Source organism: Homo sapiens, chromosome 12 (genome assembly GCF_000001405.40).
Source record: "Homo sapiens chromosome 12, GRCh38.p14 Primary Assembly".
Lineage (NCBI taxonomy): Eukaryota > Metazoa > Chordata > Mammalia > Primates > Hominidae > Homo > Homo sapiens.
Window position 1 is genome coordinate 105,304,622 of NC_000012.12, and position 27,821 is coordinate 105,332,442.

General features: G+C 43.4%; 1 protein-coding gene and 1 long non-coding RNA gene across 2 annotated transcripts in view, besides 4 other annotated features; one reads left to right on the top strand and one right to left on the bottom strand.

Moving 5' to 3' along the window:
* Positions 1 to 245: 245 nt before the first annotated feature.
* C12orf75-AS1 (C12orf75 antisense RNA 1) lies at positions 246 to 22,396 on the bottom strand. Its single transcript, NR_131986.1, has 3 exons — positions 22,283 to 22,396; positions 4,008 to 4,159; positions 246 to 528 (listed from the first exon to the last, which is right to left on the bottom strand). It is a non-coding gene; the product is annotated as a C12orf75 antisense RNA 1 (long non-coding RNA).
* Positions 22,713 to 22,762: an enhancer, noted in NCBI's record as "active region_6942". NCBI's record gives its function as "activates an Ori minimal core promoter by ATAC-STARR-seq in GM12878 lymphoblastoid cells {active_cell/tissue: GM12878}" and the evidence as "EXISTENCE:reporter gene assay evidence [ECO:0000049][PMID:35858748]".
* Positions 25,706 to 26,365: a silencer, noted in NCBI's record as "silent region_4809". NCBI's record gives its function as "represses an Ori minimal core promoter by ATAC-STARR-seq in GM12878 lymphoblastoid cells {active_cell/tissue: GM12878}" and the evidence as "EXISTENCE:reporter gene assay evidence [ECO:0000049][PMID:35858748]".
* C12orf75 (chromosome 12 open reading frame 75) overlaps positions 26,070 to 27,821 on the top strand; it is a 40,828-nt gene continuing 39,076 nt past the window's right edge. Inside the window, exon 1 of the mRNA NM_001145199.2 lies at positions 26,070 to 26,316. Coding sequence (NP_001138671.1) covers positions 26,271 to 26,316 — 46 coding nt within the window. The 5' untranslated portion in view covers positions 26,070 to 26,270. The remainder of the gene's footprint in view (positions 26,317 to 27,821) is intronic.
* Positions 26,396 to 26,495: a silencer, noted in NCBI's record as "silent region_4810". NCBI's record gives its function as "represses an Ori minimal core promoter by ATAC-STARR-seq in GM12878 lymphoblastoid cells {active_cell/tissue: GM12878}" and the evidence as "EXISTENCE:reporter gene assay evidence [ECO:0000049][PMID:35858748]".
* Positions 27,152 to 27,695: an enhancer, noted in NCBI's record as "NANOG hESC enhancer chr12:105725551-105726094 (GRCh37/hg19 assembly coordinates)". NCBI's record gives its function as "activates a minimal SCP1, AML or CMV promoter by ChIP-STARR-seq in naive H9 embryonic stem cells {active_cell/tissue: H9 hESC(naive)}" and the evidence as "EXISTENCE:reporter gene assay evidence [ECO:0000049][PMID:30033119]".

The following is a 27,821-nucleotide window of genomic DNA, read 5'->3' on the forward strand; positions in this document are numbered from 1 at the left end:
AGGCTCAAAAAATTTAAAGTTAATAATGCTAGGTTCAGTTGCATCTGTGGGGTTCCATATTCTCTGTCTCTTCCTTTCTGCTTTTGCAACTGCTGTTTTAGGGAGAGATTCATTCTTTCCACTATGGCTTGTTCTTGAGAATTGTATGGGATACCAGTAATGTGTTTACTATTCCACATAGAGAAAAATGTAGCTAGAGCTTGGCCAGTATAGCCTGGGGCATTATCTGTTTTACTAGAAGCTGGAATGCCCATCACCGCAAAACACTGCAAAAGATGACGTTTAACACAGGCAGAAGACTCTCCTGATTGGTATGTAGCCCAGACAAAGTGAGAAAAGGTGTCCACACATACATGTACATAAGCTAGTCTCCCAAATGAGGGAACATGTGTGACATCCATTTGCCAAAGAGAGTTAGGTTCCAGTCCTCGAGGATTAACTCCTCCTGTAAAAGATGAGGAATGTACCATTTGGCAAGTTGGGCATTGCTGGATAATAGCTTTAGCTTCTTTCCAGGTAATGCTGTATCTGCGTTTGAGACCAGAGGCATTAACATGGGTTAAATTGTGAAAGTGTCTAGCATTAGATATTGCATTAGCAACTAGGCAATCAGCCATTTGATTCCCTTCAGTCAAAGGTCCTGGAACAGGTATACGAGCTCCAATGTGAGTGATGTAAAAAGGTGCATTCTACTCCTAACTGCTGTTTGCAACTGGGTAAATAAAGTCATCAGTTGTTCATCTGTATGAAATCATAACTGAGAATTTTCAATTAGCTGTGTGGAGTGAACCATGTATGAAGAATCAGAAATCACATTAATAGGCATATCAAAAGCAGTCAATACCTCAATTACAGCTACAAGATCCGCTTTTTGAGCTGAAGTATAGGACGTCTGGAAAACTTTACTTTTTGAGCCAGAATAAGAAGCTTTACCATTACTAGACCCATTTGTAAAAACATTCTCAGCACCTTAAATTGGTTTAAATTTAGTTGTTTTAGGGAGAATCCAATTAGTTAATTTCAAAAACTGAAACAGCTTAATTTTAGGAAAATGATTATTGAGAATACCCACAAAGTCAGCTAAATGGGTTCGCCAAGTAAGACTATTTATAAAAGCTTGCTGTATTTGTGCCTTCGTGAGAGGGACAATAATTTTTCCAGGATCATATCCATGTAATTTAACAATTCGAGTTCTCCAATCCCTATCATGGTGATTTGATCTAAATAAGGAGTTAGAGTCTGTGAATTAGTATGTGGAAGAAAAAGCCACTCTACTAAGTCTTGTTCTTGGACAATAACAGCAGTAGGTGAATGCTGAGTTGAAAAATTAGCAAATCTAGAGTCTTCTCTGGATCTATTCTATTTATCTGAGCTTTATGGACTTGCTTCTCAATCAGTTGTAACTCTGCCTCAGCCTCCTTTGTTAATTGCTGAGGGTTAGTGAGACTAGGATTTCCTCTAAGGATAGAAAACAGATTGCTCATGGCATAGGTAGGAATGCCTAGAGCAGGTCGTATCCAATTAACATCCCCTAGTAATTTTTGAAAGTCATTTAATGTTTTTAGTTGATCCCTATGTATGGTTACTTTCTGTAGCACAATGGTAGTGTCATTCACTAAGGTCCCCAAGTAGGAGTAAGCAGTAGTAGTGTGAATTTTGTCAGGAGCTATAATTAAACCAGCATGAGAAATCGAATTTTGCAAGTGATCATAACATTGGAGTAATATTTCTGGAGTTGGGGCAGCACAAAGTATATCATCCATATAGTGAATAATGTAACACTATGAAAATTTTTTAAGAATAGGTTCAGTTGCTTGCCCCACATATGTCTGGCAAATTGTTGGGCTGTTTGACATGCCCTGTGGCAACACTTTCCAGTGATAATGCTTAGCAGGCTGCAGGATGTTTACTGCAGGAATTGTAAATGCAAACCATTCACAGTCTTGCTCAGCTAAAGGGATAGTAAAGAAACAGTCTTTTAAATCTATGACTATTAAAGTCCAATTTTTTGGAATTATAGCAGGAGAAGGCAATCCTGGCTGTAATGCTCCCATAGTTTGTATAACTGAACTGATGGCTCTTAAGTCAGTTAACATTCTCCATTTACCTGATTTTTTCTTAATTATGAAAACTGGAGAATTCCAAGGGGAAAATGTTGGAGCTATGTGCCCATTTTCTAATTGTTCAATAACTAATTTCTCTAAAGCCTCCAGTTTCTCTTTACTTAGCGGCCATTGTTCTATCCAAATTGGCTTATCTGTTAACCATTTTAAAGGTATAGGTTCTGGAGGCTTAACAATGGCCACCATCAAAAATTATTTCCTAATCTTTGGCGGGAACTTTGTTTTTCTGCTTGAAGCAGTTTTTTCAAACCTTGCAAATTTTTTTCTAGTCCCATACCAGGGACATACCCCATTTCATGCATTGTATGTTGACTTTGAGGGCTATATAATTGTTCTGGAATTAGAACTTGTGTTCCCCATTGTTGTAATAAGTCTCTTCCCCATAAATTTATAGGTACAGAAGTTATAATTGGTTGAATAGTCCCAGGTTGTCCATCAGGCCCCTCACAATGCAAAATATAACTACTTTGATATACTTCAGTAGCTTTACCAACTCCAACTATGTTAAATTGAGCAGGTTGAATTGGCCATGTGGATGGCCAGTGCTGTAGAGAAATGATTGAAATGTCCACTCCTGTATCTATCAAACCTTTAAATTTCTTTCCCTGAATAGTTATTTCACAGGTAGGACGTTTATCAGTAATTTGATTTACCCAATAAGCTGCTTTGCCTTGTTTATTTGTGCTTCCAAATCCTCCTGTTTGTTTAATTTCACTTTTTCCCATTCCCACATGTGGCACAATCAGGAGCTGTGCTATGCACTCTCCTGGCTCTGCTTTCCAGGGAACAGAAGTAGACACAACAATTTGAGTTTCCCCATTGTAATCTAAATAAATGACTCCTGTATGTATTTGTACTCCTTTTAAACTTACACTAGACCTTCCTAAAAGTAATCCTATTGTCCCTGCTGGCAAGGGTCCACAGACTCCTGTTGGGACCTTTTGCAGGGGTTCCCCAGGCAGAAGGCTCACAGCTTTTGTGCAGCATAAATCTACTGTGGCACTACTAGCTGTGGCAGGGAACAGACATTGTACAGGGGTGAGGGAATGGCCTGAGCTGGAAATGCCCTGGTTTAGAACAGGGCCCGGGATGGGCCCCTCATGGCATTTCCTGAAATTGGGTTTCTTTCTTTATCAAACTTAGAGTGACACTGACTAGCCCAATGTTTTCCTTTTTTACATTTTGGACATATTTCAGGCTCAACAGTTTTCTTTTTTCCCCTATCTGGCAGCCTGACTCGCTGATTTTTTCTACATTCTTTTTTAGTATGACCATGCTTCCCACAGTTAAAACAAGCTCCAGGAAATGGAGTATTTCCTTTATCCACTCTCAGTCCTGCCAGTGCCTGTGCCAACAAAGTAGCTTTATGCAGATTACCTCCGATACCATCACAGGCCTTGATATAATCAACTGAATGTGCTTTCCCGAATTTAAAAGGAAAAGGCTCAAATGTAGCTATAATATTTCCCTGTTGATCTGGGGGGTGTATTCTAACAGGGAACTGCCAAGCCTCTAAATCACCCTCTCGTCTAGCTTGCTGAATTCCTGCCTGAATAGAACTAAGAGCCGTCGCTCAAGGGGCTGCTTGAACAGTCACTGGGGCAACTACTTTTTGCCCAGTGTCCTCCAGAAAAGAAAGATCTGGAGGGTCTTTGTCTTCAAAATAATAAGGAGGGGGTGCAGAAGGGTAGGGATGAACCTCTCCTTCCTTTGCCGCTTTAGCTTTAGCTGGTAAATAAACATGCTCTGTAACCTCTTTTGTTACTTCGCTATACTCTTGTTCCTCCTCATTATCAGTGTGAAAAAGTTCCAAGGTGATACAAACCAGACACCATACCTGTCCCATCATTACCCTGACGCTTCTGAGCTCCCCTTCTTACTCACCACGGGGATTGCTTTAAGAGTACTCGGGTGTCCTCCAGCTAGTTTTCCATTCCAACCGTCGCTCCAGCAATCCTTTGACTTGGATTCGAGCCCCCACGATGGACGCCACTTGCCGAGACCAGCTCGGTCGGGGAGACCCTAACCCAGTGGCACTAGAGGAATTAAAGACACACACACACAGAAACATAGAGGTGTGAAGTGGGAAATCAGGGGTCTCACCGCCTTCAGAGCTGAGAGTCCCAAACAGAGATTTACTCATGTATTTATTAACAGCAAACCAGTCATTAGCATTGTTTCTATAGATATTAAATTAACTAAAAGTATCCCTTATGGGAAATGAAGGGATGGGCTGAATTAAAGGAATAGATTGGGCTAGTTAACTGCAGCAGGAACATGCCCTTAAGGCACAGATTGCTCATGCTATTGTTTGTGGCTTAAGAATGCCTTTAAGCGGTTTTCTGCCCTGGGCGGGCCAGGTGTTCCTTGCCCTCATTCCCGTAAACCCACAACTTTGCAGCACATTAGGGCCATTATGAACATGTTACACTGCTGCAGAGATTTTGTTTATGGCCAGTCTTGGGACCAGCTTATGGCCAGATTTTGCTCCCAACATTTATTCTTCATTATATTGATGGTATTTTAATTGCTGCCCCCACTGATAAAGAATTAATTGACTGTTCTCAAAGTTTGAGCTGCCATGTTACAGAGGCTGGATTACACATCGCTCAGGATAAAATTCAACAGACCACTCCTGTTCAATATTTAGGAATGGTGGTCGATAAACAATGTATTCAACCTCAAAAAGTTCAAATTAGGAGAGATTCTGTAAAAACTTTAAATGACTTCCAAAAACTTTTTGGTAACATTAAATATTTAAAACCTACTCTAGGCATTCTGACCTATGTGCTGTCTAACTTGTTCTCTATGCTGCAGGGAGATTCCAATCTCCACAGTCCCAGGACTTTGACCCCTGAGGCTTCACTAGAACTGGAATTCATAGAGGAAAGAATCCAGACTGCCCAGTTATCTAGAGTACAGCCGTTTCAGCCTTTTCAGCTTCTGGTTTTCGCTTCATTACACTCCCCTACTGGACTAATAGTTCAATATAATGATTTAGTGGAGTGGTGTTTTCTTCCTCACTCTGTGTCAAAAACTTTGTCTGTTTATCTAGTTCAAATGGCCACTCTAATTGGACAGGCATAGTGCAGAATACTTAAAATTTCCAGATTTGATCCGAATTTAATTGTAGTTCCTTTAAATTGGCTGGAAGTTCAAGCCGCCTTTCAACATTCCGTACTGTGGCAAATTCACTTTGCTGATTTCATTGGCGTTATTGACAATCATTACCCAAAGAACAACTTGTTTGATTTTATAAAAATGACGTCTTGGGTGGTCCCTCGATTAACCAAAGATCAGCCCATTCCTGAGGCCGTTATAGTGTTCACTGATGGCTCCAGTAATGGCAATGCTGGTTATGTAGGTCCTACAGACAAGCTTATTTCTACCTCTTATACCTCTGCTCAAAAGGCAGAGTTAATTGCTGTGATTATGGCCTTACAGGATTTCCCCAAACCTTTAAATATTGTCTCTGATTCTGCTTGTGTTTTACATGCCACTAAAAATATAGAAACTGCTACTATCAAACATTGATAATTCTGAATTGGCTTCTTTATTTTCAAGGTTACAACAGTCGGTTCACCAACGTAGACACCCTTTCTATATTATGCATATTAGATCTCATACCACTTTACCAGGACCCCTGTCTGCTGGTAATCATAAAGTTGACTGTTTGGTCTCTTTTGCAACCCAAGAAGCTCAGGAGTTCCATAATCTCACTCATGTCAATGCTGCTGGATTAAAAGATAAATTTGCTCTTACCTGGAAACAGGCTAAGCTTATTATCCACTGCTGCCCTCAGTGCCAAGTTTTTGTACTTCCAAATCAGGAACCTGGCATTAATCCCAGAGGCCTAACTCCTAATGATTTATGGCAAATGGATGTGACCCATGTTAGCTCCTTTGGCAGACTGTCATATGTGCAGGTCTCTGTAGATACCTTCTCAGGTTTTATCTGGGCTACTTACCAAACAGGGGAGGCACGGCCCATGTTAAAAACATCTGTATTCTTGCTTTGCAGTTATGGGGCTTCCATATCAAATAAAGACAGACAACACCCCTGGATATGTCAGTAAGGCTTTTGATTTATTTATGCAACAGTGGGGAATTTCCCATATTACTGGAATCCCTTACAATCCTCAGGGACAGGCTGTGGTGGAATGGGCCAATTGCACTTTAAAAACCCAATTCTCCAAACAGTCTGAGCAACAAAAACATAATTTAACTACCCCCAACTCCCAATTACATTTGGCATTGTTTACTTTAAAATTTTTTAATGTTCCTAAAGATCTAACTGCAGCTGAACGCCATTATACAGGCAAAAAATTCTCCCTAAATGAAGGCAAGCCAGTGTTATGGAAAAACTCCCAAACCAATACCTGGGAACCTGGCACAGTTATAATGTGGGGGAGAGGATATGCTTGTGTTTCACCAGGAGATCATCAATCCCCTGTCTGGGTACCCACCAGGAGACTCAAGCTTTGGGTGAATACTGACAACGAAAACCACAGAGAAAAGACATCCGTATCAGAGACCGCCCTCAGACGTGGTGAGATCTGTGTCAACTCCTTAGAAGCTGGCACACCAAATCACAATGGGTCTGATTCAATCCTCCCTGATGGCAATGGAGACCCATCTAACTAATCCCACTTCTCCTGACTACCTTTCTTTTTCTCCTTACAAACCTAAAAATCTCACCATTTCTATTAGCCTGAAAATAACATCTCTCTGTTCTTCTCTTCCTCCTTCAGCACTGAATCTCACTTACACTATGTTTTATTTAATGATTCTCCTCTTTATACTTTCTGTCTCACCAGTTTCCTCTCACACTGATTTACCTGCTACACAAAATTATTCTTATTGGGCTTATGTGCCTTTTCCTCCACTTATTCGACCTCTCACCTGGATGGATGCTCCTGCACAAATCTACACTAATGATAGTGTGTGGATGCCTGGAGCTACAGATGACCACTGCCCCACTCAACCAGGAGAAGAAGGCACTGCATTTAATGTTACCATGGGTTATAAATACCCCTCTCTGTGCCTCGGACATACACCTGGTTGTATCCATCTACAAACTCAAGTCTGGGCTGCTTATCTTCTGGAGAGATCAGCTACAGAGGAACCGGGACATTTAGTCTCTGGCCTCTCCCTTTCTTGTTTAAAACAAATGAAAGGGGGAGTAATGGGAGATACCCCATACTTTCAATATAAACCTGCAGGAAAACCATGCCCTAAAAATTTTGAGGGCCCATCTAAAACTTTAATTTGGGAAGACTGTGTTAACTCACATGCAGTAATATTAAAAAATGACTCATATGGTTTAGTAATAGACTGGGCACCAAAGGGCTATTTAAAAAACAATTCCTCCTCTGACGGAAAGGAATGCCTGGAGGCTGCTTATTTGATTTCTTATCAGGAGAACAAGAATCATCATTCTACTTTGCATAGGAGGTTCAACTCGTTCTTTCCCTTAAAATGGGAAGATAAAGGCATTACCCACCCCCCCACCCCGAGGCCTCATATGATACTCCCCATTCTGAGCCCAGAACACCCAGAACTTTGGAAATTGGCTATTGCCATGTCTGGACTGCAAGTATGGGAAGGGGAAACTATTCTGTCTGTTGTCCCCAATACCGTTGCTCTCCCTCAGTATCAACATAAATGCAGACTTTCTGCTTTGCTTACTTCCAACCTGACTGTTCCCATACAGAGTTGTGTTAAGCCTCCTTACATGCTGTTAGTGGGAAATATCAAAATTTGGACGAGCAATCAAACTGTCCAATGCATTAACAGTCATTTATACACTTGTATTAACTCCCATTTTGACTCTGGGAAAAGTGTAATGTTGGTTCGAGCTCAAGAAGGAATCTGGATTCCGGTAACTTTGCCCAGACTTTGGGAATCCTCCCCGTCAATACATTTAATTAATGAAGTGTTACAGCAAATTCTAAAAAGATCTAAGAGATTTGTTTTCACTTTAATTGCTGTGATCATGGGCCTAATTACAGTCACTGCACTGGCCACTACTGCTGGAATGGCATTACACCAATCTATTCAAACGGCTCATTTTGTTAATGATTGGCAAGCCAATTCCACCCAAATGTGGAATTCTCAACAAGGCATTGATCAAAAATTTGCTAATCAAATTAATGATTTAAGACAGTCTGTTATTTGGCTTGGAGATTGGGTAGTGAGTCTTGAACATCGCATGCAAATGCAGTGCGATTGGAATACTTCTGATTTCTGTATCACCCCGTATTCCTGTAATGAAACTGATCATTCATGGGAAATGGTCAAAGGACACCTTCTAGGTAGGGAAGATAATTTATCATTGGACATAACTGAATTAAAGAAACAAATTTTTGAAGCCTCTCAAGCTCATTTATCCATTGTGCCTGGAGCTGAGGCATTAGATCAGGCAGCAGAAAATCTTTCTGGACTAAACCCCACGACTTGGATTAAGTCTATTGGGGGCTCCACTGTAGTAAATTTTGGAATTATGTTTCTCTGTTTAACTGGCTTGTCTTTAGTGTGCCAGACCAGTCAAAGAATCCTGCATCAAAATTGAGAGAATGAACAAGCCTTTATCACCATGGCACATTTATATAAAAAGAAAGGGAGAGATGTTGCGGGAAGTCAGGGACCCTGAACGGAGGGACCGGCTGAAGCCATGGCAGAAGAATATAAATTGTGAAGATTTCATGGACATTTATTAGTTACCCAAATTAATACTTTTATAATTTCTTATGCCTGTCTTTACTGCAATCTCTGAACATAAATTGTGAAGATTTCATGGACATTTATCACTTCCCCAATCAATACTCTTGTGATTTCCTATGCCTGTCTTTACTTTAATCTCTTAATTCCATCACCTTTGTAAGCTGAGGATGTATGTCACCTCAGGACCCTGTGATGATTGCCTTAACTGCACAAATTGTTCATAAAGCATGTGTGTTTAAACAATATGAAATCTGGGCACCTTGAAAAAAGAACAGGATAACAGTGATGTTCAGGGAACAAGGGAGATAACCATTGGGTATGACTGCCTGAGAGCCAGGCAGAACAGAGCCATATTTTTCTTCTTACAAAAGCGAATAGGAGAAATATCACTGAATTCTTTTTCTCAGCAAGGAACAGCCCTGAGAAAAAGAATGTGTTCCTAGTGGGCGGTCTCTAAAATGGCTGCTCTAGGAATGTCTGTCTTATACGGTTGAAGATAAGGGATGAAATAAGCCCCGGTCTCTCATAGCGCTCCCAGGCCTATTAGGACGAGGAAATTCCTGCCTAGTAAATTTTAGTCAGACTGGTTGTCTGCTCTCAAACCCTGTCTCCTGATAAGATGTTATCAATGACAATGCATGCCCGAAACTTCATTAGCAATTTTAATTTCGCCCCAGTCCTGTGATCTCTCTGCCCCCATTTGCCTTGTGACATTTTATTGCCTTGTGAAGCATGAGATCTCTGTGACCCATTCCCTATTTGTACACTCCCTCCCCTTTGAAAATCACTAATAAAAACTTGCTGGTTTTGTGGCTTGGGGGGCATCACAGAACCTGCTGACATGTGATGTCTCCCCTGGACACCCAGCTTTAAAATTTCTCTCTTTTATACTCTTTCCCTTTACTTCTCAGACTGGCCGACACTTAGGGAAAATAGAAAAGAACCTATGTTGAATTATCGGGGGCTGGTTCCCCCGATATCATAGTGTTCCTATAACAATGTACTTGCTAGGTCAATGTTGATCAGCAAATGATCCCAAGGAGACTTGCATCTGTATCACCTGTGGGTGTCCTAATTTAAGATTCAGATTTGTAGGCTCATATCAAAGTTACTAAATGTGACTCTCTGAGGCTGAGGCCTAGGAATGCACTTTTATTAAGAAACTCATCTAATTCTGATGCTTAGTAAAAGCTGAGAACTACTGAACCAGTTTCACCAGACCAGTGTTTCTGTGTTTCATAAGTCCAAGGGGTACATTTTCATTGTACTCCACGTACTCCCGGGGTGGCACATATGTAAAATAAAATCTGAATGGTGTCCCTGGGGCTTTGTAATATAGAGCTATTGCTTGGCCTTATCCTACTTTTGCTGTCATAGGCCTTCTCCTAGAAGGTGTGGTTCATTCCTAGTGACACTGAAGAAGCTCTTAGCACCATTCACTGTGGGGAGCTGAGGGCCAAGTCCCCACTTCTAGTAGCAGAGCCCAAATTGATCTCATGTATGTCCCTGGCAAGCTATGGAGAATAAGAATTTCATTCCATGCCAATAGGTAGAAATTGCTTCTGATTTATTGTGCAGGGAAATCTAGGTCACAATCTCTAATAGCCAATGAGTGCTCACTGGATGGCAAGAGAAGCCCATATACCAGAACTATGTGTTTCAAGGGGATGTGGGACTCCAATTGGAACAAAGTAATTTGTTCCAATTACTTTTTTCTTATTGGCTGTACATTTCAAAAGCCTGTATTCAGGAAACTAAGGAGAGAGAAAGTCAGGAAATGCTGCACAAAATTGCTTTGAACAATCTCTGATCTGGTTTATTGACTCCTTCCTCAAACAAGTTCTACTTGTACTGACTTCCTGACTCAATGAACATTTGCTCAGCATCCATCAGAGAAATAATAGCTGAAGTCGATGGGAGGTTACCCATGCTTACCACGTGTTTGACTGAGCTCTGGGAATGCAAAGTCAAATAAAACCCTGATCTTGTGGAGTTTATATTTTAGTTGGTGGGATACAGAGGGATCTAAACAAGATATAATGATACAATGTGGTAAGGAATGTGCCTAAGGTATGGAGGGAATAGGAATTAATTCTTCTCAGGCATATAGAAGCCTTGTTTAAAAGGCAGCACTTGATGGGCCTTGAAGGTGGAGTATGAACGTGCTGGGTGGAGGAGGGGATGAAAACATGCCTGGCAGGAGCACCTGCATGAGCAAAGGTATGGTGGTGGGAGTCCATGTGGTGAGCTTAGAACACAGTGCTCATGACAAGGAGTGGCTGGAGATGGGTCAGGTGGGGACAAGGCCAGAGGTTAGGGTTGGGTTGGGACAAGGCTTTGAATGTCTGCTGGAAAGCCTCGCCTTTATCTTCTTGGGAAGCCGAGATTGGACATAAAGTAGAATGATGTGATCAGACATGTTAAGACAGAAAGAGCACTTGGCATCAGTGTGGGGTGTGGTTGCTTCCTCTCCTGAATGCCTTCCTTGTTGTCTTCATCTGACTAGCACTACTCATATTTAAAGATTCAGCTCAAGCGTCACTTCCTTTAGGGAGCCCTCCATGATCTTCACGGCCTGGCCACCTACCCGTCCCATGGGCCTCCGTTGAAGCTGACATAAACCTGGATCACAGAGCCTGACACATCTTAGGGCACATTTGTTTCCCGGCCAGCCTGAGGGTCTGTTGAGGATTGGGCTCCTGTCTGCACTTCCCTATGGTTGGCAGCTGGCACAGAATCCAGCATTTTATAATGACTCACTAAAAATATTTATTGTTAAATAAATAAGAATAAGCATCCTCTGCTTTCATATTTTCTGAAGTTGTGAGTATGTAATTACTACCATTGATTTAATCCTTACTGTTTGTGATGTGCTTTATGATCTCATTTAATTCCCATACAAAACTTAGATGATAATGACAATAACATGACTACTACTATACTAAAACTGTCACCTGGTGCCTAACGTGCTTGACACTGAAGTGATTTGCTTATATTAACCCATTTAATTCTCATATGAACCCTTTTATGATCCTGAACAACAGAGGCTTGAACTGCTCAGGTCCACTGATATGTGGATTTTTTTTGACCCAGCCCCAGTGGAAAATACAGTATTCAAGGGATGCAAAACTCATATAAGCAGATTCTGCAGGGCAGACTGTGGGACTTGAGTGTGTGTGGATTTAGGTACATGGGGAATGGTTGGGGGTGGTTCCTGCAACCAATTCCTTGCAAATACTGAGGGATGAACACATTATTCTTTTTCTTTTTTACAAATAAAGAAACTGAGAGGCTGGGAGCAGTGGCTTTCATCTATAATCCCAGCATTTGGGAAGGTCGAGGTGGGAGGATCGCTTGAGCCCAGGAGTTTGAGACCAGCCTGGGCAATATAGTGAGACCTCCATCTATACAAAAAACACAAAAATTAGCTAGGTGTGGTGGTGCATGCCTGTAGTCCCAGCTCCTCAGGAGACTGAGGTGGGAGGATGGCTTGAGCCCAGGAGGTTGAGGCTGCAGTGAGCTGAACACACTGCAGCCTGGGCAACATAGGAAGACCCTGTGAGGGAAAGAAAAGAAAGGAAGAAAGGAAGAAAGGAAGAAAGAAAGGGAAGGAAGGAGAAAGGAAGTAGAAAGAGAGAGAGGAAAGAAGGAAGGAAAGAAGAAAGGGAGGAAGGAGAGCAAGGGAAAGAGAAAGAAGGAGAGAGAAAGGAAGGAAGGAGGGAAGGAAGAAAAAAGAAAGGAAAGAAAGAAAAAAAAGAAAGAAAGGAGTAAAGAAAAGAAAAAAGAAAAGATAGAAACAGATACACAGTGATTAAGTAACTTGCTTGTAAGTGGTGGTGAAGTTAGGATTTGGACCCAGGCACCACAGCTGGAGTCTGCGTTCTGTTTGCTGTATAGACTCTCTATCCCCTGGGCTTAAGTGAAGTTAGGATTTGGACCCAGGCACTGTAGCGCAGAGTCTGTGTTCTGTCTGCTATATAGACTATGTCCATCCCTGGGCTTAAAGAGGTTAGGAGGCTTTAGGTTATTTAGCTATAAATGGCAGGGTAGGGAGTTGACTCCATGTCTGTCTGGCTCCAAAGTCATAAGCCTCCAATTTCCTGCCCTGTTCTATCTTAAAACAGAATGCGAGTGTTCACCAGGGTCATCACTAAGGCATTTAGAAAATGAAATTTCTGCAAATTAAACACAGGGAGAAGTCTGATTCATGGTGGGGTTAGCAGCAGCCAGTTGTGGGTGAAGCTGGAGAAACTCAAGGTGGGTGGATTGAATCTGCAAGAAATGGGAATTCAGAATGCAGCCTCAATCTAGGACATTTCCAGCCTGAGACACTATCTGAAATCACACCGCAAGATCTTCAAGCTACAAAACACTGTAGTAGTTTAATTAATCTTTTTTTTTTTTAAAAAAACATCTGTTGTAGCATTTAAAATCAGAAAATGATGTCCTCATTATCTCTCTGAAGCCTGGCAGATTCTTCTCTACTAAAGGGTCCTGGATTTGAAAATCACTTCCTTTAGAAATCTCTTTTGAGTCCAGGTTCCAGGTGCAGGAGTCCAAATTCCTTTTGCTTTAGATAATGATTAAATGTCTCCTTTTCACCTTCCAGTTCCCTCCCTCTTTTCCAAGCAATTTAATCTTAACCATTCATGTATATTGTTTAGTTAGTCATGGCAACAAGGCCATTTGATAGGTCAATTAGCAGCTAAACTTAGACATGATATTGACATTCTGGCTGTGTTAGCCACATTTTTGAGATCCTAGTATAAAGGTTTGACTGATCTCCATGAATTGTCAATACACTTAGACAATGAAGGTGCTGTAATTGCAAAAGAAAAGAAATTTTCAGGACCGTTTAAATGTATTTTGCCAAGGGGGAAGTTAAACCCTGGAAACTGAGTCATGTAGCATGTTTGCAACTTACGCTTCTTAGATTATAGATTAACTCTCTTCTGCATTGTTCTTGTTCTGTAAATGATTAGAAGAGACCAGAGACCAGAATTCCTTCCCTTCCAATCACTGATCTTTGTTGTAGATTAAGCCCTTCCATTTTTGTCTTGTACGTAACTCAGACCAGATGGTACAAAAGAGTCCATGACTGTTACATCTTCAGTGTGGAATGTTAAATGTACCTTTCCTGAAAGGAAAAGACCACCTCGACTAATCAGATCATTGTAACTCTGCATTCGGCCTCTTGTAGAAAAATGTTGAAATTCTGCTAAGCTTCCCTAAACCTTGTCTATGTAAACAATCCCAAACTTCTACACTTCAGAACACTGACTTCCATTCTTTGGAATCTGTGCTTCCCAAGTGGCCATCTTCAACTTTTGCACTTGAATTCAACTCTCTTCAAACTAGTTTCTGGCCAGGCATGGTGGCTCATGCCCGCAATCCTGGCACTTTAGGAGGCTGAGGTGGGAGGATCACTTGAGGCCAGGAATTTGAGACCAACCTGGACAACATAATGAGACCTCTGTCTCTACAAAAAAGGAAAAAAAAAAACAAAACCAAAAAACCAAAAAAACATTGCCCAGGCATGGAGGTATACACCTGTAGTCTTAGCTACTTGGGAGGCTGACATGGTGGGAGGATCCCAGGAATTTGAGGCTGCAGTGAATTATGATTGTGCCACTGCACTCCAGCCTGGGTGACAGAGTGAGATCCTGTCTCTAAAAATAAAAAAATCAACAAACAAACTAGATTCTGACCCTTTTGATTATTTGAGGTTGACAAACAACAATGAAGCAAAACCAGGCCTGATCTCTGCCCTAATGAGGGATAGTCTAGAGGGAGAGAGAGAAGCACATCTCAGAATCATATACAAACATGAAAGTGCAACTGTGACAACTGCTTTGAGGATCAACAGGTTCTCTAATAGGGAAATTTAGCCTCATCAGGGAGGTTGAAACAAGGCTTTGTGAAGAAGCAACACTTGAGTAAAGCCTGAAGGCTAAGCAGAAATTAATTAGGCAATGAGGGGAGGGAAGGGTGTTCTAGGCAGAGGGAACAGCTTATGCAAAGGCTCAGTGGTGGGGAGGGCCCCGCAGTACAAGGAGCTGAAAGAAGGTGATAAAAGGAGTGTAGGAGCTGAAAGAAGTAGAAGTAGGAGAGGCAGACAGAAGTCAGACCAAGCAGGGGTTTGTAGGCCCCGTGAAAGACTTGTATTTGTATCATAAAAGCAATGGGAAGCTATTGAAGAGTCCAAGGAAAAGGAGGGGGTGGTGACTTGGTCAGTTTACATTCTGAAAGCCGCTCTTTAGTGCAAGGCATAGAAAGGGAAAGGGTGCTCGCTTGGATGCTGCTCTTCCCCGCCTCACTCTTAGTCCAGGAAGTCTGGCTGGAAGGCTGATGGAGCAAGCCTGGCCATATTGCCACATCCTCTCGTCCTCAGTGACTGGTTGAGGGACAGGCATGTAAGGAAATCGGGCTCAATCAGAAGTCCTGTCAGGTATTTAGCAGGGACTACAGGAACTGATGCATGGTCTTGCCTGTTGGCTTTGAACTTAAGATCACACGAGGAGCTGCTGTGGCTGTCTTACCACCACAAGGTGGAGAGCCTGATGCTACCAGGAGGTGCCTGCCGTATGGGACCTGAGAGTGAGGCTGAGCCCAGAAATGGAGTGAAACCAAGTCCCGATGGCTTTCATATCTTGTCCAAGCACAACTGAAGGCATCCTTGCTTCAGTACTTTTCAGTTACATAAGCCAACCCATTTCTGCCTTGCTTATACCACATTTCATCCAAAGAGTCAGTGGATTCGTAGGCAGGAGGGGGACGTGGAAGAAGTCTCCCGGGCATGCCCATCTGCTGGATCAGGACTGTGGAAGGAGCTGGGCTTCCTGTTTGAGCTACTCCTGCCAAGCAGAGAGGCTTTCAGAGGAGGAGCAGGAGCAAATTGGCCTCTGCCTGGGAACAGACATTTTTTGGTGCCTGGTAATCTAGTCTAGTCAGCTAGGAGCTGTGTAAATTTACCCTTCTCTATGCTGAAGGCTTAGTGCTGTGGGTGCTGTTGTCTTCTGGTTCCCTAGTAAAGTTTCTTTTACAAACTATAGTCAGCTCTTGGCCGACCTGAGGGAGAAAGGGAAGGAACCAGGGAACCAGAGAAGTCTCAATGCCCTGGAAGCCAGGGATCAGCGTGGGGTTGGGTGGGGAACATGGCAGCCACTGAGGATAGGCTTCAGCTCCAGGTAGATGTGCTTGCAGCCAAGAGCCAGGAGAAAACCATGATTGTCCTTTGTTCTTACCTATGGTGGGTGCTGCCCGCTAAGTACCTGCCTCCCCAGCCAGCTCCTCTGGACCACTCAGCCAGCTCTCTAGGTTTCCAGGGCCAGAGCTGCCTCTCAAGTCTGGTGGTTATTTGAGGCCAAAAGATCCACCTACAAACCTCAACCTCTCATTCTCCCAAAGGAAGCATATTATCTGCAAGGGAGGAGGACAGGCAGGGAGTGACATTGCTCTGTTCTCTCTTTCAGGATGAAAGGGGCAGAACCATCTAGAGAGCTGGACAAGAAACAATAAGCCATGAGTTTAAGTTCTTGCTCTGAGAACTTGTAAAAGAACTGTGAGCCAGACCTCTTTGGGCCTCTGTTTTCCTCACTTGCAAGTAAAAGCATTGGATTCAATGTTCTTAAATCAAATATTATACACATCAGACTGGATAACTGCCTTTTAAAACTACTCAGAAAATGAAGCTTCTTACAACTTCTGGAAAAATTGGTTGGGGTTAGTGTTTAGGTCACAATGGAAGGCAGAGCTCCTCCATCCCTCTGTCAACTAAAGGGAGGACAGCAGCTCTCTCTGACCCCATACAGCATTTGACCTTGGACCTTTCCTTCTGGGACTTTGAACCTCGAGAGAGAGGCACGTGGTTAAGTGAAGGTGGGGTTGGGTTTGTGACAGCAGCAGTGTGGGGTAGAGGCAGTGGCAGTAGTGTGGCACTAGGGGACAGGCACAGTGCATGCTAGCTGTGTGTTCCTTTTGCCCAACCTCCCTGGCTTCTTCATGGCATCCCAGGTCTGGTTCCCCAACCTTCCTATCAAGTCTGTGGACCACCCAACAACCTTATAGTTAATCCCTTTCCTGGTTACATCAGCCAGAGTCAGTTTCTGTTGTTTGCATCCCAGGTATCCCGGCTGATACATAGTGGAGGACACTTATGTTATTAAAACCCCAAACTAGCTAGAGACATTTTTGTCTTTTAAGACAGGATGACATAATTCATGTCAGCAGGAAAATAAATGTTTGTGTGTCTCTTTCCCCTGCTAAATGTGTTAGAAGAGGGTCTGGAGAGTAGCAGGGGGTAGGCTGTCCTTAGGGTGCACGTGCACGGGTATGGATATGGAACTTCTGTGTTGTCAGACTGTTTCCTTCTTGTATTTCCTTAAGCAGGATCAGCAAACTTTTCTGTAAAGGGACAGATAGTGAATATTTTTGGTTTTGTTGGCCATATAGTGACTGTTGCAGCTACTCAACTCTGCTGCTGGAATATAGAAGCAGAAATAGATAGTATGTAAATGAGCAGATGTGGCTGGTTTCCAATAAAACATTATTTTCAAAAACAAATGGTGGGTCGAATTTGCCTGTAGGCCATCGTTTGCTAATCTCTTTCCTAAAGCACTTAAAGCACTTTGTATTCGTTTGTGATAATTTGAATTATCGTTCAACCAATATTTATTCCTTTCCCTCTTCCACTGTGGACAAAGTACAATTCCCTAAACCAATGATGTTAGGCTTGGCCAAGTGACTTGCTTTGGTCGATGAAACATTAGCAGATGTAATAAGAGCCTTAAATATGTTGTCACAGTTTGGCTTGGATCTTGCATTCTGGTGATCCACTATGAGAAGCACATGCCCTGCGTAGCCACTGCCTCTTCAGTCCCAGGACAAACAACTCAGAGTTAGGATCCAAGCCCAGCCAACCTCAGTCCAAAGCAGAGCCACCCAGCTAAGCCCAGCCCAGATGAACTGACCCACAGTTGATCCACCTGCAGATCTGTGAGCATGAGAATAAATGCTTGTTATTATAAGTTACTGAATATTGGGATGGATTGCTAGCAATATTGTAACAGTATCTAAAATACCATCTTAATGCATTCATCACAGACTGTTTTATGGTTGCTTGTGTCATACATGTCATTTTTCCCTTACTGCATTAGAGATTCCTTGAAGCCATTCATCAGATCTAACTCTTCTTTAAAAATTCTGTAGCACCCAGCACATTGCCTTACAAATAGTGCTTCCTAAGTATTAAGATGGTGTGTAAGATACTGCTACAATGTCGCTAACAAACCACAATATAATATTAAATGGTGAATGTAGCATTCGTTCATTCATTCATTCATATAAACGTGGAAGAATTTTCTGCCTGTAGTGAAGAATGACATTTGCTACTCTCTTCAGAATGATGAGAAAAATATCTGACATGACAGTGACAGTGGACATTTAGGTCTCAACAAGACATAGTTTCACTTGACCAGAAGAGGAAAAGGAAGCTGAATGAGCCCATGGTTCTGCTTCTCTATCTGTAAAGTGACTATAATGATAGAACCTACCTTTTGGGTTTTCATGAGGACTAAATGAGATAATTCATGCAAAGTAGTTAGCATTGGGCCTGATCCATGGTAAGTAGTCAAAATATTTTCATTATTATTATTTTCAGAAAGATTATGTGAATTGTCTTGAAATCCAGCCCTAGGATTAATAATGGCAGTTGGGCTAAAACAAAAAAAAAGTATTTTACAATGATTCTCTCCCTCTCTTCCTTTGTTTCTCCCTCCTTTTCTCTCTTTGTCTTCCTTCCCACATTTACACTCACACAGAGAACTTTTATGTGCTATTTAGTGCAGCAAGGAAATTGCAGGACACTATCTCTACTATCAAGGAACTACCAGTCTAATCAGACAGATACAAATACATATATTCAATGCTGTCTGTAAAAATATGTAATTTATGGACTGAATAAGTAGCATATGCTATAAGAAAGGGTTTTGAAACATCTTCAAATATTAAACACCAGGAGAATGACAATGGAAGTCCCAATGCATTTCAAAGAATCACTTTCATAATGATAACTCTCTCCAAGACAACTTAAAAATCAAGAGTAAAACTATTAACACATTTGAAAAATAAATTACTTGGAAACTTAAAAGTTCTAGATAATTCATGGGTTAATAGGCAATGAAAATTATAAGGAATTTAAAATTGAAGGACAATGACAATAATAAATATCCAAACCATCTGGATGCAATTTAAGCAATATTCGGAAGAAAAAAGAAGGCTTAAATGAATTTGGTATTTAACTCAAGGAGTTGTAAAAAATAATATCAGGGTAAATCCAAAGAAATTAGAAAGAAGACAACAGGAAAAGGAAGGACTGGAAATAAATGAAATTGAAAACAAAACAGAAAAAGAAAGAAATGGTTAAAAAAGAAAGTGGACTCTGAAAACTCCAGCAAAATGAACAAATCTATAGCAAGACTAATCAAGAAGGAAAAAGTGCAAATAAACACTACGGGAAGGCAAAAGGAGGCACATCCACAGATATAAAAGGGATTACAATCACCACAAGAAAACACTATTATCAATTGTAGGCCCATATATTTGGAAATGTATACTGTAGCAGACACAGTTAGTTGCTGCAACTGTGCTATGCTATGCTATGCTATAATGTGCTATGCTATGCTATAATGTGCTATGCTATGCTATGCTATGCTATAATGTGCTATGCTATGCTATAATGTGCTATGCTATGCTATGCTGTACTATGCTATACTATGCTGTGCTATGCTATACAGTGCTGTGCTAAAATATGGTATGTTATGATAACACAACCCTAACATCTCAGGTGGCTTACAGATCACAAATATTTCTTTCTCATTCATGTTGCAGGTTCAGTGTGGGTGTGGGTGAGGTCCTCCACCCCATGCCACGCAGTGACTCAGGGGTGCAGGCTGACGGAGGAGCCAACACCTCCACATGTGCTTCTGGGGTCATTGCAGCTGGAGAATCTAGAATCTAGCTTACTGTAGAATCTTTTTTTGGGGTGGGTGTATAGAGTCTTACTCTGTAGCCCAGGCTAGACTGCAGTGGCATGATCTTGGCTCACTGCAACCTCCACCTCCTGGGTTCAAGCTAGTCTCCTGCCTCAGCCTCCCAAGTAGCTGGGACTACGGGCATGCGCCACCATGCCTGGCTAATTTTTGTATTTTTAGTAGAAATGGGGTTTTACCATGTTGGCCAGGCTGATTTTGAACTCCTGTCTTCAAATGGTCTCCCAGCCTTGGCCTCCCAGAGTGCTGAGATTACAGGCATGAGCCATGGCCTCTGGCCTGCAGAATCTTTATTACTCTTGTAATCAAGTACTTCTTGTCTACCACCCTTGAAGATGCTCTGTTGTGAGGAGTGAAGTTGGCTGACAGCCTCCAGCTGTTAGCACCTTTGGAATCTGCTGCTGTGTTGAAGCTGAGCTCTGGGTAGCTCACAGCCTGGTGGAATTACTACGGCCTAGTCATGTCTGCCCAACATGGGACTCCCCTCCAGGCAATCTGCCTTTGAGATTCCCACTGGCCTTGGCCAAGACTTTCTCAGAGCTGCTCCACAGTCTAAGCTTCTTTCTGCTCACTCCGAATTTACCTGTCTTTGTATTTCCCCCTCAAGGGTGTCAGATGTGCAATGCAGTCTGAAGGCTTTCCCTGCCTACTCCTGATCCCCTCCCACTCCACGCTCCCTGTATCTTTCAGGCATCACCCCCAATAAACCTCTTGCATTCCTACCTCCTAACTCCTAGCAGTCCAGAATCTCAAAGTCATATTTAACCTTTAATCACATTTCATTGGCCAAAACTAGTCACATGTCCATGCCCATCTTCAAAGGGTTAGGGCAGTCTAACCCAAAGGAGAACTGGATATTGGGGCACATTTGTAATTTTTATCACTACTGAAAAACCCTAAATAATGGGAAGAGAAGTTCTCTAAAAGAAAATAATATTTATTTGGGAGTAAGCATTGCAATGGAATATGGTGGGTGTATTCGGGGAAGTAAAGGAAGATAATGGTTTTTAAAGAATAAATAAGGAGGATTACATAATTGTTTTGAGATAATTGTCCTTGGCTACAAGGATCAATAACAAGGGTTATGCCAGTCAGGTTCGACAGGCAGTTGCTGGGCAGATGTCTTTGCAGAAAAAATTTTTTTTTGTATAAGGGTGCAGTACCCTTTGTGCAAGATTGTGAGTTTTGGCCGGGTGCAGTGGCTCATGCCTGTAATCCCAGCACTTTGGGAGGCTAAGGTGGGCAGATCACCTGAGGTCAGGAGTTGGAGACCAGCCTGAACAACATGGCGAAACCCTGTCTCTACTAAAAATACAAAAATTAGCTGGGCGTGGTGGCACATGCCTGTGATCCCAGCTACTCAGGAGGCTGAGGCAGGAGAATCTCTTGAACCCAGGAGGCAGAGGTTGCAGTGAGGTGAGATCGCGCCATTGCACTCCAGCCTGGGTGAGAAGAGTGAAACTCCATCTCAAAAAAAAAAAAAAAAAGATTGTGAGTTTTGCATCCTTTTCTGGTTGTTTTTGTAATCAGCCATATGTACGTGGGAACATTTCCTTCATGGCCTTCCCAGCCTCTATTTGTCAGGGCTTTAATAAAGTGACTCCACTTCGATTCTGACAACTTTTGATATACAACTAATGATTAAACAGTTATTCATTACCCTCCTTTTCTTGCCAGCAGAGCCCCAATTTTTTCAGGTGTCTATCCTGCACTTCCATCATGACTCAAGGGTAAACTGTAACTTACTAGAGCCAATTATAACCAATTTCCAGTAATTGGATCAAGAAAAGGCCAATGAAATCTTGGCTAATGCAATGGGAGAGGAAGTGTTCTGGGTGCCACCTGGATTTAAAAGTGACACAGGCTGGCGCAATGGCTGACGCCTGTAATCCCAACACTTTGGGAGGCCGAGGCAAGTGGATCACCTGAGGCTAGGAGTTCGAGACCACCCTGGCCAACATGGTGAAACCCCATCACTACTAAAAATACAAAATTAGCTGGGCGTGGTGGTGCATACCTGTAATCCCAGCTACTGGAGAGGCTGAGGCAGGAGAATCACTTGAAACCAGGAGGCAGAGGTTGTAGTGAGCCGAGATCCCACCACCGCACTCCAACCTGCCTGGGTAACAAGAGCGAAACTCCATTTCAAAAAAAAAAAAAAAAAAAAAGTGACACAGTGTGGGGAAGAGCCTCTTTTCTCTTTTCTGTTGGTGGGTATGGTTATGTATGAAGTTGCTACCGGGTGCTGAGGCAGCCATCCTGCAGCATGTCAAGAGGGAAAAAGAGAAAAGCAAAAAGAAAATCTAGGCTGCCAGACTTTTTGTGGGGAGCCCTTCATGGGAAGAAAAATCATGAAAACTTAGACTTACTCAGGTTTATATTCTCCTACCTCTTGCTTTCTTTTTCTTGTCAGATGAATTTCACTCATACACCTCTTCTCTCTCCTTCATGCCAGATCAGTTCTGTTTGGAAGAATGAAAATGACAGCTAAGTGGTGTGATCTAACTGACACAGGGAAAGAAGCTGAAATTGACCACTCAGGAAATGAGGCATGTGTTAATGATTTTCTTTTGACTCATTGTTTTTAAAAACATCCACATGCAATCAACTGTTGTCTATAAAATAAAATAAAATTCCTAAAAAGGAAAAAGGGGACATAGACTTGCTATTTCATTCCACATTAGGAAGAGGACTAACATTTATTGGGTACTTACTATATGCCTGACATTTTACTAGGAACTTTTCATACTCTGTCTCACCAAATGACCTTGCTTGCCCTTTGAATAAAATTTTAACTCCTTTCCACGGTGTATGTTCTGACCCCCTCTCTGAAATCCGCACCCTCCCCATCTCTACTCCACAGATGGGCCTTTGAATTCTGGCTTTTTTTTAAAATTCCCTCTTATTTATGAAACACACCTAGCACGTTCCTGCCTCAGGGCTCCTGTTCTTGTCATTCTCTTTGCCTGGAATCCTCTTTCCTTGGATCTTCCCATGTCTGATTTCTTTTTTTTTTTTTTTCTTTTTTTTTTTTTTGAGACAAGAGTCTCGCTCTGTCACCCAGGCTGGAGTGCAGTGGTGTGATCTTGGCTCACTGCAAGCTCCGCCTGCCAGGTTCATGCCATTCTCCGGCCTCAGCTTCCTGAGTAGCTGGGACTACAGGTGCCCGCCACCACGCCTGGCTAATTTTTTGTATTTTTAGTAGAGATGGGGTTTCACCGTGTTAGCCAGGATGGTCTCGATTTCCTGACCTTGTGATCTGCCCTCCTCGGCCTCTGAAAGTGCTGGGATTACAGGTGTGAGCCACCGCACCCGGCCAATGTCTGATTTCTTTACATCAACCACACCTCACAAAAATATCCTTTCTTCAGAGGGCCTTCTGTGACCATTCTATTAGGTTAGTGCAAAAGTAATCGCAGTTTTTGCCATTAAAAGTAATAGCAAAAACTGTGATTACTTTTGCACCAACCTTATATCTAGAATAGCACCTCTCCCTCTACTCCTAGTCTCCTATTCCAGTGACTTATTTTTTCCCATCGCACTTGTATCTAAAATTATCTGATTGTATTTGCTTTGATGTATCTCCTCCCACTTGATTTTTCCTCTCTCTCTTGTTCACTGCTGTCTCTCAAACATTTAGAAGAGTGGCTGGCACTTTAAAAACAGATTGGGGGTACAAGTGCATTTTTGTTACACGGATGTATTGGGTGGTGGTGAAGTCTGGGCTTTTAGTGTAACCATCACCCAAATAGTGTACATTGTACCCAACAGGTAAGTCCTCATGGCTGGAGCTCTTAAGGTGATACTCAATAGTGCTTGTTGAAATAATGGATAGATCACATAATCTATAACATTATAGGGCAGAATGCACACTACGAGGAACCATGAGATATCTCAGTAAGTGAGTGTTAGAAAAGAACCTACAGGATTTAGGTTCATAATAGGTGATTTTGGTTGGGATTTAAGGAAGCAGAACTTTTTTTTTTTTCTACATTGGATATTGTCAGGAAGCAGGGACAATTCTATGATTAGAGATTCTTAATGAACCTCATCTCTAGGCAGGAAGACAAGAACAGGGCTAAAACCATAACTGGTAAAGCAGCAGCAGACAATCCTATCAGGCAGGATGGGGAGATGTTTGGTGTTTTGGGGGTTTGCACAATGACCTTGTTTTTGTCAGCACTTAGACAAGATTACCGAGTCACCTTGTTTTTTGTCTCATTTCATAGTTTATAGAGTGGCCTTGTGTGATATTGGTGTTCTATGCAACTGTGTTTAACAGGAGAATGCAAAGGCCCAGCTGTTGAGTGTCACAGCTTCTAGGCCAGTTTCTAGGTGTCAAGGTCCATTTTCTGTCTCTTACAAGTGTCCTAAGGCTGGAGTCTAGTGTCAGCACAGAAATAAGCAGGAGAATATCTTTCGGCTACTTGATAGTTCCCTTTTCCCCAGTTCTGGCTATGTATTAGGATGGACACTGAACCAAGACAGCACAGGCTGGTAGAGAAGCAGTACTTCTAGAAGTCAACTAAAAAATGCCTTTATTTATCCAAGAATTAATTATCCTCTCAGCACATGGCTACCACAGCTAATTTTCAAATGGAGAATGCTGTATATTTTGCATCCTGAATGATAGAACGCACCATTGCCTCAAAGGCCATGTTCAAAAACCTGCCAAGTCCTTGATTCTGGTTCATATTTTTATTTTTATGTAAACACAACAGTATGGTTTCAGGGAAGTCTGTTTTTTTTTTGTTTTGTTTTGTTTTTTTGAGACAGAATCTCGCTTTGTCACCCAGGCTTGAGTGCAGTGGTGCTATCTCGGCCCACTGCAACCTCCACCTCTCAGGTTCAAGTGATTCTCTTGCCTCAGCCTCTTAAGTAGCTGGGATTACAGGTGTATGCCACCACACCCAATTAATCTTTGTATTTTTAGTAGAGACAGGGTTTCACCATGTTAGGCTGGTCTCGAACTCCTGACCTCGTGATCCGCCCGTGTCAGCCTCCCAAAGTGCTAGTTTACAGGTGTAAGCTACCATGCCTGGCCTTAGGCAAGTCTTTTAACTAGCATCCCAGCATCCTCTGGGACTCTATGGCACCTGTATTCCTCTGTTAACATTCCTTCTATATTGTAATTAATTTATTTTAATCTATCTGCCTGGTTAGACTGTCTCCCACATATTTGTATCCCCGGAACTTAACAAAGGACTTGGCACAGGCTAGGCTCCCTACAAATATTAAGTGAATTTAAAATGGAGCTTTAATTCCTGGCTTGAAGTCACCTCACAAAACATTTAGTGAGTCTGTATTACAAGCCAGGAGGACGCTATGAAAAATCAGATAGTCTTTCCCTTTAAGGAATTTGTATTCATTTCTATTAGAGTTAATAATAATAATGATAATAGCTGATATTTACTAAAGATAGGGAACTTTGTTAGGTACTTTATATGTACCTGAGTTACTGTCATTTTATAGGTGAAACAAGGGATGTACCCAATGGGTTAAGTTACTTTCCTGAGGTCACGCAGCTATCACGGGGCAGAACGAAGACTTTAACTCAGACAGTCTGACTGCAGTAACGCTGGCCCAACTATCATGTTGAAACGTACAGCACCGTGCCCATCCACAGTTCTCTCATTTATCAGAGAGGAGGTCCTGAATCCAAGTTATTGAAATCGTTGCAGACATTTGTTTTAAAGAGGAATAGGTCAAGATGACCAATCTGGGGAAGAACTTTTGCCAGGCAGTGCGTATGGGGAACAGAGCTGCGTTGGCCTTCTGTTAAAGCAGCTGGGGATTTCGGTTTTGGCTTCAGACCTGCACAACATTCAGTCAATAGCATTTATTGGGCGTCCACTGTGCAGGGTGCCCCCTGCTACTTCCTCTCCTCCCCACATCCTGGGGCAGGGAGGGGAAGTGAGGAAAGAAAAGCAAAGACAAGGCGAGGAGGATGCTGAGGGTGGGCAGGTGGGCACCCCCACCCCGCTGCGCCGGCCACGCCCCTTGCCGCTCCCTCGCCCCGGGGCCCACTTTAAACTCCCGCCCCTCGTAATAACGACCAATGGCCGACCGCGAAGCGCGCAGGAGGCTGGGGATTGGCCAGTGCCGAGGTTGCTGGGGCGACGGGTGGGTCCGGCGGGTCCCCGGGCGGGGCGGGGCCGGGGCGAGGGGTGCCGGGTGGTTTCCGCCCGGCAGCCCGCAGCCCGCTGCGCCCCGGGCCGCGTCTCCCGGCGGTGGGAGGGGGCGGCCCCCACTCGGTTCCTGGCCCCTCGCGGCCCCGTCAGCCTCCCGCTCGGGGTGCGCCGCCCTTCGTCTGGGTCTCCGCCCCCAGGACCCGCGGCCGAGAGCTCCGGAGCGCGGCTTCCCCGGCCGGCTGCGCGATGGGCTGCGGGAACTCCACCGCCACCAGCGCGGGCGCGGGCCAAGGTGAGTCCGGCGGGAGGCGGGGGCCGGCGGGGGCGGGCGGGAGAGGCGGCGGGAAGGAAGGGTGCAGGGATCTTGGGTGGGGGGCGCGCAGCCCCCTCTCCCCGTCCCCATTTTCGGGACAGGAGCAGACCGCCCGTTTCTGGAAAGACCGAAAGCGTGGCAAGTCCCCCGCGCGGGGGCGGTTGCGCCTGGAGCAGTCGAGCCTGCGGGGCGTCTCTGCCGAGGGAGCGCGGGGAGGACTGTCGCGGGCTCCCCTGCAGCCGCCGGGGCTCACCTGCAGCTGGCGGGTCTCAGGGCTCTCCTGGGGGAGAGGATTCCCGGACGTGGTCCCCGGCCGCTCCCCCACCTCCCACACTTGCTCCTCCAGGCCTCTCCCCCATCTCCTCGGAACCAAGGCGCTGCACCTGGAAAAGTGCAGCAGAGCAAGACAGGACTTTTCGGGCAGTGGTGGTGGGGCAGGAAGCGGGGAAGGGTGGGAGTGGGGTTGGGGAGAACTAGAAGCAGAGCTGCAAAAACGCATCTGTGTCTGCCTTGATGCCGAAGACCGGCTGGGCTGCTCTTAGGATTTCTCTGAGAAGCTGCAGCAGTAAGGATGTTTTACATATGTGAGACAGAGCTTTATTATTAACAGTCTGTTAAGATACTTTTCATTAAACACACACACACACACACACACACACACACACAAATAGAAACTTCTTTTTATACCACTTCATGTTGATTGGCAGGCAAGGTCTTCTAGCTTCCCCGGGCCAGCCAGGCTTTGTGTCAAGTGACTTTTGCCAAAACTCACCCTTCTATTTCACCCTGCCTATGTCTCGGGATTTAAGGTACCCTGGATCTGTTTTGAGTAATAACTGCTGACCTATTTCAGTGTCCTTTTGGATAAAGAGCTCCTATCTCCTCCAATTGAAGTCAACCAGATGCCACATCCTAGCCTAACCAGCAAATGCAAACAGCAGTCAGAGGCTGCGGTATTTCCTAGGCGGCTGTGGAGGCCCTGGCAATGACTTTGTAACCTTGGGCCTGTCACATCCCTTAACCCAGACGCCGGTAAAAAATGGAGTTTAAGACTCAATTTGAGTCTTGAATTAAATCCTGTCCTGGTGACAATGCAGAGAGCCACAGGAGAGCGAACTTTTTAGATTCATTTAACAGTGGGGAAGGTTAGTGTAGCACCTTATGCTAATGAGGGCAGACGGGCTTCAAACCTGCCTGTGGCCAGAAAGCTCTGCTTGTATGAAACAATGTCAGGGCCACACCCCGCACTCAAATTGTGTCTCAGTCTACTAGGTACTGTGGCCGTATGCAATCCACTGCATGTGTAGCCTACTTAAAAAAGGTGAAGAAAAGTTATCCACATTAAAAAAAATTGTAGGAAGGATTTGTAGCAGATTTCCCTTAAAATGAGGCTAGTTTCATGCATGTACATTTTGATTTATTAATGAACTGCTTGTCAGTTTTAGGGATGGGGAGGGGGTACCATTGCCAAATGAAAATCAGAA